Raw genomic sequence first — 10,224 nt, 5'->3', positions numbered from 1 at the left:
ATCGTCTTTCTCATTAAATTATAAACTTATTGGGAAGAAAGCATTTGACATATCTTTTTGCTTCAGGGTGTAGCACAATACCTATTTCATAGATGCATTCAATTAATGTTTGAATAAATTAATGCATTAATTAATAAATGATTCATCAAAGAATTATGTTTTCTAAACATTTGCATATAATATTACCCATTTAGGCTAGAAAAATAATTATTTAGATGTCTCTTGACTTCTAGAATACATCCCATGAGAAAAAACAAATTATAACTGGTAGCAACATGAAAGAACTGTCAATAATGCATAAAATTAGGGATTTAAATTTTGAAAGGTAAGTCAAAGTTTTGTTTTGTCACTGTGCAAAACTCAAAATCTTTTCATCTACAGGGAAAGAAACCATGAGCACTTTGATGTAACTGAATATGACACTTCAATCATGCCATCTCCAACTAGATGTATTGTTGAAAAAGGAAAAAATCATTTGAATTTCCTATAAAATCCTGCTTTAAAAAATAATTTGTCCATTCACGTCTTTATTCAAAAAATGTTTTGAATGTTAGCCCCAGGGATTGCAAGGAAACAAGCCAAATGGAGCTTATAGTCTCATAGATAAGAGATACAAAACGAAAACAGCAAGCAAATAAATACATGAAATAATCTGCACGTAACAAGCTCATGAAGAAACAAGAAACCAACAAAGAAAATCACAAGGTGCTGCTACTATAATCACAGGAACTACTATTAGGTATGTGGGTCAGAAGTCTCCTCTGAGAAGAGGAGGATGAGCAACACTAGCCATAGGCTCCCTGGAAAGAAGAGCATTCCAGGCAGAGGCTTTAGCATGTGCGAAGTTCCCAAAGAGGGCAGAGGGTAGACATGCTCAGGAAGCTGCAGGACCACAGTGCCTGGAGGATAGAGCCTGAGGAAGGGAGCAAGTGGCCACAGAAGACGGCAGAGCCACGGCAGCAGAGTTTGCAGACTCTACTGGGGAGTCGGGATGTTTTTCTAGGAAAACAGGAAGCCATTGATGAGTTGAAACAGCAACAGTAAAATCAGGTCATGAGTATTTCCTATGTTCCAGACATTGAGCAAAGGGAGAAGAAAGTCAGGAACATTAATCTGAAGGTAGCCTGCCTTAGTTCAAATTCTGGCTCTGCCACCGGCCAGCCATGTGATCGTGGACAAGTCACTTCACCTTCTGGGCCCCATCACAGAGTTGTGTGAGGACTGAATTAATAAAGTGCCTAGAAGAGGCCTGGCACATAGGAAGTGTTCCATACCTGTTTTAGTGAAACTCTTCACATATGTTAGGGTTTTCCAACAAACTTAAAATAATATCCTAGGTCTTTCTGATGGCTATCACGGCCCCAGGTGATCCAGCTACGTCTCTAACCTCATTTGCTGTGACTCCTTCCTTTATCACCTTCCTTTATCACTGGCCTCTGGCCATTCCCCAAACACACCAAACTGGTTCCACTCTCAGTGTTGTCTTTGCTGTTCCCCTGCCTAAAATGCTCTTCCCCTAGAGAGCAGAATGGCTTGCCCCCACTGCTTCATTTGTGTCTGCCCCCATCAGAGACCCTGTCTGAAGCTGCATCCTCCATCACCCTGTCTACTCTGCTGTGTTTTCCCTCCTATCACTTCTCAGGACCTGACACTCTCTTTATATTTCTAAGTTGAGTTGCTTATTGTCTGTATCTTCCATGGAGGCAGAGACTTTATTTTTTGCACTGCTATTCCTGACCACCAGAAAAAAAAAATTGATGAATAGACAAATAAGAAATGTATGGTCTGGTTTAATACTCACAACTCCTTAAGTGTATTGTTTCACAGGTGAGACAAATAAGGTCTAGCAAGGAAAAGTGGTTTGCATGGTTGGCTCTGTTGACTCCTGGGGTCTTCATCATGATGATGTCCCATTCTGTGTTTGGCTACACACCTACCAGTTCATATCCAGCCCCTCCTAGACAACTGAATGAAGCTACAATTGTGCACAGTGCATGATGAAGTTACTAAAGCTTGTCACCACCTGGCAGGGAAAGGGAGAGCAGCCCTGGGCGCCTCTGTCACTTCACACCGCCCCTCCCAGATTGACTTCTGCATTAAACCTGTGGCAGGCACAGCTCTGCCTCGCCCCTCCCTTCATCAGACATCCATGCCACTCCTCAGTCACATCAGCACCTGCTGAGCAGAGGCTTTCTCCCCACTCCCTGCTCTCTTTCCTCTTGATCTTTTCTGGGCAGACTCAAAGATGCAGGCCACAGCGGAATGAGGGAGTTGTGAATAGACAATCTCCTTTGATGTCTTTCCCCAGCTGCCTACATTCTTCAATAAAAAGGCTACCTCATTCTGCCAGTAAACCTCTTGGTGGTACCTGACCTTCTGTGGTTTGATCTTTTCTCAGCCTGTCTTTGCAATTCCCTCAAACCTAGTTTCCCTTTCAGTGCCTAGAATGCTGATTTACTTTGAAAGAGCACCATCAGCTGTGGTTTTTCTGTGCCGCGAGTTAACCAATAACTGAGTCCAGGCCAGCAGTGAGTAGACCAACCAATGTTCCCATTCTACTCACCCTCAGCCTTCCAGCAACACCGTTCCCTGAGTTTTGGGTGAAAGGCATACCAAGAAGCAGAAATACAACAGCAGATCCGTCAGTTTGCAGAAAATCGAGTAATTCCAACTTATTTTTGAAGGAAAACCTTTTAGCAGCTCTTACAAAAGGAAATACAGAAAATAAAAATCACAGGGCTTCCCCTCCCCTCATTTTTATGTACCCCTGATCATGGAAGGGTGAGATGGTCAAACACTTCCTCCCCAGCTGAAGGACTGACTTCAGGTTTCCTCTCCCACCCTCTTCTCTGAGCCTGCAATCTATGGGTTCACCAGGCTTTTCATTGCATTGGTTTCAAAACCTGGCATTTCTCTCTCCCTAACCCCTTCAGGGCCGGGGCTAAAGCAGCCACATAACATTTCGAGGTAGGAATTGAAGTTGTTTTCCTGCTGTGCTTTTCCCTTTTCCTCCCTTCATCAAAGCAGGGAGCCTGCTCTTTGATACATTGCCTTAGGGCAAGTCCGTGGCAGAGTGCAAAACAGTAAGTTTGTGAGATTTTCTGGTTTGTGTTTTCTTAACTCTAAATCCTTTGGGGACAGGAGGATTCAACTGAAGAAACAGAGGGGCTTGGAGAAGTAGAAAGTGCAGGAGGGGATTCCCCTAGGCTGGGGGTAGTAGAGAGCAGCAGATGCCCAGAGGAGTGGAGAACTACCTGGTCTTGGTACCTTGAGGCACAAAGACCCCAGAAAGAAATGTTTCCATGGACAACCAAGGGGCGAGACCCTAAGCACAGAGGGTACTGGCTTCATCAGAGCTGCCCATGACCCATGAAATGTGGAAGCAGTGAGCCATCAGATAACAGGAGACAATGAGGGCTTAAATAATGAGGATGCCAGCCGTGAACACAAAAGATTTAATATCAAGAAGATTTAAAATCAGAGGACTTCATTTTTTTCAGGCATCATGCAAGACTTCCTCCCACCCCAGGATATGGTGCAGTCCCAAGAGAGAGAGGGAGCCACAGTGATAGCAATGGAATATGCCACCAATTGGACAAGTGGGCCCTTAGAGTCTTAAATCAAATCTGTCTTCAGAAAACAAAGAGATATTTCTTCTACAGTGAAGTTTATTAGAATGACATTCATTCGTGTGGTCAGATCATCCTCCTGGCTTTTAAAATATGCTTTTGCCCCAGATTCCATCTCTTAAATCTACTTGAGATATACCTCATGTCTAGTCACTGCCAGCAGCGAGCACTGTGATCCTCTGCCCAAAGGCCCCATTCTGCTTATCTAAGTAGGAGAGGGGGCATCTTCAGACAGACGTTTTAATTCATCAAGGCTTCCTGTGTTAAATAGTTAATATTTCATTCTCTTCATGTCTCATAGACACTTTGAATCAAATGCTCCCAGAACTGAATTATTTCCCCCACTTAGTTAACGGTGTCTCCCAAGAGGAAAAGCTCATAGCTATGCAATCTTTGTTTCTTCTCTGCACTTTCCTGGGGGTTCTAGATCAGAAATATCCTTCAGCTCTCAACTCTTTATCTCTGCCACCACAGCCTTATTTGGGACTTTATTAATCATTGCTAATACTATCTTAATTAATGCACTATGGTAGCCTTTTAGTGGGCATTAAATGAATATGTAATAAAAATGAGGTCAAGAACTACATAACACGTATTTTATTACCAATATGTGGAATCGATAAGTTCTAATATTTATGGTATAAATTTATTCTACAGAAAGAGTCGTATATTTAATGTGCATTCTCATTTCACTATTTTCTAACATGCATCTGTTGTCTTTGCATTTAATGGGGTTTGGGCATTGTTTTGTCTAAATGCTAACATCACTTGAGGTAAACCAGCATGGTCAGGGCGTTTGTCACAATACCCAGCCTGTCAACCAGCCAGTCAGCCTCAATTCAGCTTGGGAAGCTAACCAAGGTCAATTGCTGCTATCTAATAAAATCAAAGTTTCTTCTAATTAATGCTACAGCAATCACAGATTTGCAAAAGTGCTTTCTAGAAAAAAACTTGATGCTAGAATTGAGATGGTTATTCTTTCTTGGTGGAATTGCACTTGACCTGACAACTTGCCAGAGATCTCTATTCCTTTCACAGGGCTACAGCAGCCAGGAAAAAGAGTTTGTTTCAGTGAATGTAAATTCATTAGATTATATTTCAGAAATGTGAAGATGGCAGGCACTGGTGATTAATGGCAGGAAATTTGGACATGATAAGTTGTGAGAACCTATAAAATATGACACTGCCATCAAGCAAACATGAGTGTGTAGGGTGTGTTGGCAAGCCTCAAAGCCAGCGTCTTCCAACAAGGAAAAGGAGACCAGTCTTCCCATGCCAGAAGAGAGCCAGGAAGAAAAACAGATGCTTCACTTACAGCCCCATGCCTCCTCTCTTCCAAGCTTGGATGTAACAAATGACATTTTCAATATTTATAATGGTAAAAAAGGTAACCACTGCATTCTCCAAATGACTTCACCTTTAACACATTTGCTATCTCTTTATTCTGTTGCAAAGCTGATTTTCCTGAATTTTACATAGATTCCCACTATACACATATTTGGAATCAACTTTCTGTTGATTCTTCATAGCTACAATAGTTTGAGCTTGTCAGAGTATCCTTTCCTCTGGTTTGTGCTCGTCCCCTCATCATCCTCGTAGAGCAGATGCTTTATCCAAGGATTTATTTTGTGTAACTCTGGAGCTACAAATGATTCATGGACTTCACTTAGGATATGCTACCAAGGTACTAGCGATTCTCCTCCCTGGGACCTCTAGGCTGGGCATCCAGCATCCATGCCAGCCAGTGCATTCTGACCTGTTCTACCCCAGCAGCTCCATCATCCCTCCATGCAATTAACCCCCGGCCTTTGCAGTCAACTTTTGAGAATAGTGTTCTGTGATTTTATTTCACCCAGTGCTACCTGAAGCAGAACTTATTATTTTAAAGTTTCATCATTGGAAACTTGAAGATCTCTGTTGGCTGTCATTTGTTTATCTAGACTAAGTGTTTTAGGAAATGGAGCATCTGCTGAATAGGTGCTTTCATGAGGAGAAGTTCTTTTGTAGCTCATACCCTCCATTCCCTTAACAAAAATGGGTTATTTGAAAATAAGCAGCTCAATTTTGAGAATAAATAGATAAAGACACTAGGCTTGCTAAGGATCTGACATGTTATTATTACTTAAGAAGGAAACTGTGGCTCTTATTCTCTTTCCTCTTTCATGCTTTCTTTCTGAATTTATAATTCTTCAACTCAAACACATTCTAATACCTTATCAGAGGGTCTCAAGCTGCTAATAGGAGTAGAATGATTGTAGTCAGAAACTTGACAGAGTTTAAGAAAAGTACATATAAATCAAGCCAAACATTTTTTATAAAATACATAAAGATAAATTGATTGATAGATAAATGATGGCTAGATACAGATTTAGTTACAAAGGCAAAACTGCTGGGATATATACTAAAATGTTAGCAGTGTTTATCATTAAGAAGTATAATACCAGCGATTTCTATTATCTCACTTTTTTTTTATATTTTCTAGATTTTCTACAAGAAACAAATTTACAATCAGAAAAAAAAAATGGTTTTGCAGTAAAATAAAACTGCATTGGCCTGAAAAAACATTGAAAACCAAGAGGCTGGATAAGATTCTGCCATTCGGACTTCTTACATAAGGAATCAAAAGGTGGGAACTGCCAGTCCTCTTAGGCTCTTAAGTCTAAGCCCAGAAATGAGCAGCATCACTTCTGCTCTATTCTGTTAGACAAACTGGACACAAGCCGGTCCAGATTCAAGTGAATGGAGGCAGAGATTCTGCCTGTCAATGGGGCCATGGAGGATTGAGATGTATATGGGCAAAGAAGAAATTGAAGACAGTCATTTTTTAAGACAGGCTACCACATGCTCCCAGAGGAGTCTGATAGGGAAGGGAAGAAGGTAAAAGTCTTGGCCGCGCGCCGTGACTCATGCCTGTAATCCTAGCACTCTGGGAGGCCGAAGTGGGCGGATCACAAGGTCAGGAGTTTGAGACCAGCCTGACCGACATGGTGAAACTCCCTCTCTACTAGAAATACAAAAATTAGCCTGGCTTGGTGGTGCGCGCCTGTAGTCCCAGCTACTCAAGAGACTGAGGCAGGAGAATTGCTTGAACCCAGGAGGTAGAAGTTCCAGTGAGCCGAGATCGCACCACTACACTCCAGCCTGGGCGACAGAGTGAGACACTGTCTCAAAAAAATTCTCACAGAGTGCTTGCTTTGCTGTGAGTCTTCAGAGAAACTGGAGAGAAAGTCATGCCTCAGAGTTGTCTCTAAGGTCATGGAGCTAGGTGAATCCAGTTCAAAAATAGGCAAAGGATCTGAATAGACTTTTATCCAAGGAGGATATAAAAACAGCCAATAAGCACATGAAAAAAATGTCCAACACCATTACTCATTAGGGAAATGTAAATCATAGCCACAAGACACCACTTCACAGCCACAAGGATGGCTGGAATTAAAAAGGTAGATAATAACAAGTGTTGGTGAGGATGTAGAGAAATCAGAACCCTCATACACTAATGGTGGGAATGTAAAAGGGTGCTGCCATTTTGGAAGACACTCTGGCAGAGTTACCTTATGATTCAGCCAACTGAACTTACAGCTATATATACCCAAGAGAAATGAAAACATACTCTACACAAAAATGTGTACATGAATGTTTATAGTAGCATTATTCATAATAGCCAAAAGGTGGAAACTACCCAAATGGTTCATCAACTGATGAATGAATAAAATGTGGTATATCCATACAATGGAATATTATTTGGGCACAAAAATGAATAAGCCATTGGTACATGCCACAGAATGGATGAACCTTGAAAATATTATGCTGAGTAAAAGAAGTCAGTTCCAAGATACCACATATTATGTGATCCAATTTGTATGAAATGTTCAGAAAAGGAAAATCTATAGATACAGAAAGTAGATTAGTAGTTGCTTAGGGATGAAACTGCTCTAAAATTGACTATGGTTGTGGCTCCACATATCTGTGAATAGACCAAAAAAAAACAACAACAATGAATTGTCTTTGTGTATGGTAAGTGAATTATATCTTTAAAAAAAATTTAACTGGTCAAAATTGTAAAAAAACAAACCAACAAACAAAATAAAGGAAGGAGAGACATAAATTCTTGGACACTTTCAGTTCTCTATGGCTGGGGTAGTTCAAGGGTGGTCCTCTAAAGAATTGCAACTTCTGGCCCTTGAAAAAAATGTAGAAGGGGCGTTGGGAAGGTGAGGGGAATGACGGACACAGGTTCACACAAATGGTAGAAAGATAGCTCAAGGTGTATAAATTGAATCTGCTTATGGCCTGTACCCATTGTTTAATCAACCATTATGACCAAGAAGATGCAAATGTCTGATTATCCAGCGCTGGATCCTATGCCCACCACAAGCCCAGACTAAGAATAGGGGAGAGCGGCCCCAGTGGGAAAGTGAACTGCCAGTGCCAGAAAGGAAAGGAAAGCTGGACAGGCACCCACAAAAGATGTCCACTCAAAGAACACAGCCTTCATGCTTCAACCTAAGGAAGAACTTTCTAGAAGTAGAATGAAAACAGCAGCCTCAAAAGCGGCCAAGCTCCCAGTACAAGAAGCTTTCATGCAGAGCAGAGATGTGGCTGCCTGGATAGCTGAAGGAGATGGCTTTTGTGGCAGGGAGCTCTAAAGTGATCCTCAGTGACTCCCTCCTCTTGGCACATATACCGTTGTGAAATCCCCTTCCCTTGAGTACGTAGGGACTGCAGAGAGTGACTCACTTGGGGTGAATAGGATGCAGCAGAGATCCTAGAAAGCTGTTTTTGAGATTAGGTGGCTTCCGTCTTGGGTGCCCTCTCTCACAGTCTGACCTCTTGTTGCTTGCGTGCTTGCTCTGAGTGAAGCCAGCTAGCTTCCCTATGGAACCCTCACGGAAGGTACTGATGTCTCTGGCCAACAGCCAGTGAGCTCTTGAAAGCTGCCAATGGCCTCATAAGTGAGTTTAGGAGTAGATCCTTCCCCATTGAGGCTTGAGATGACAGCAGCTTCACTGACACCTTAATGGCAGCCTTGAGAAAGACCCTAAGCCAGAGGCATGCAATTAAGCCATGTCCAGTTTCTTGACCTGCAGACCATGACATAATGAATATTTGTTGTTCGTAGCTGCTAAGTTCTGGGATAATTTCTTATACAGCAATAGACAACTAGCAGACTTTAGAGCCATTTATTCTATTATTACATTAGTTTGAGAATATGTTTTATCAAAGGGATTATTTTTGTGGTGTGAGGCTGTGTGTGCCTTTGTGTGTGAACATTACTAGGAGTTTGTATGTACCTGCAGGCGTTTTGAAGGGGAGGCCAGGAAGGTGATCCACAAATAGGGTAAAAGGACAGTAATTTCAAAGACTTCAGTCCACTTTGATGTTGACGTGTCCTGGCTTTCTCCACTAGCACATTGGTTCCTGCAAACAGAACTTGCCTTGTCTTCCAGAAAGCAAAGTATTGCTGTGACAATAGTCACAAAAAGACTAGCACTTTCCATCTTAACCATGTTTTGTGCCCTCTGTGAGATTGCAGACAGTCTCTAAATTTAGGTAGGCCAAATTAGGCTCCAAAGAACTGATTTACAGTATAATCAACATCACTTGAACTTTCTTCTGATTAGTGTGGGAATGGTCAGGAGCTTCCCAAGTAGCATTTATCCCACTTATTCTACTCTTTCTTGACAAGAATATGTTAGGCTTCTTTTCTGCCCAAAAATCTAACTGCCCATTCTAAAGCCATAAATTATACAGGAAGCTCTTCTGTGCAGAGATCAAACCCAGATCACTACATGGCTTTTATTTGTGCCAAATGCACGCAGTCTGCTTTGTCCTGGAGAGCAGGAGTCTCATGCAGTGGGAGCTACAGAAACACGGTTTACATGATCAGAAGCCCAGTTTTGCTCCTGTTTCCTTGCTGCTCCCAACAATTAGCCTCTCTCGGAACATCAGTTTGCCCTTATCCTAATGGCACAGAATAACAAAACAACAGCTGGCATCTTAGAGCAGCAGTAAGTGAGGACCTGCCTGGAATTCTTTTCTGATGACTTCCAAGTGACGCTTCCAAAGAAGCAAAAGTTATCACCTTCATCACCTGAAAACACTGGCTGTGCTATGGTCAGAGGTCATACAGGTTTGAGGGACACAGGGCCCAAGATTTTTCAGATGTACATTCAGATGGGCATGTGGAGGGGATCACAACACAGATTTCTGTTCCAATCTGAGTGAGGATGCGCACTGGGTACCAGTAGATCGTCCAATATAGAAACAATCTAGGACCAAGGGCTGGAGGGTGGAACCATTCAGGTAATAACTTCTAGGGGGCTCTTCCAGCCCCACCAGGACTCAGTGCAGTTGTCAAGAGAACTCCACTGAGGGTCTTCTGCTGCATCCTAGAGTTGAGGTATTGGCAGGAGGCCAGTAATGTGGCCAAACATTGACCTGAGACAGGAGACCTGGATTCCCGTTCTAGAGCTGTCTTTCATCAATTTGTCTTGTTTAAGACTTTTTTTTTTTTTTTAACAATTAAGCAAAACTTATTCAAATTCGCTTAACTCAAATAGGAACTGGGGTATATGTCTCTCATAGAGCCCAAAAG

The sequence above is a fragment of the Homo sapiens genome, chromosome 5 (genome assembly GCF_000001405.40).
Source record: "Homo sapiens chromosome 5, GRCh38.p14 Primary Assembly".
NCBI lineage: Eukaryota > Metazoa > Chordata > Mammalia > Primates > Hominidae > Homo > Homo sapiens.
This window is presented reverse-complemented; position numbering follows the sequence as displayed.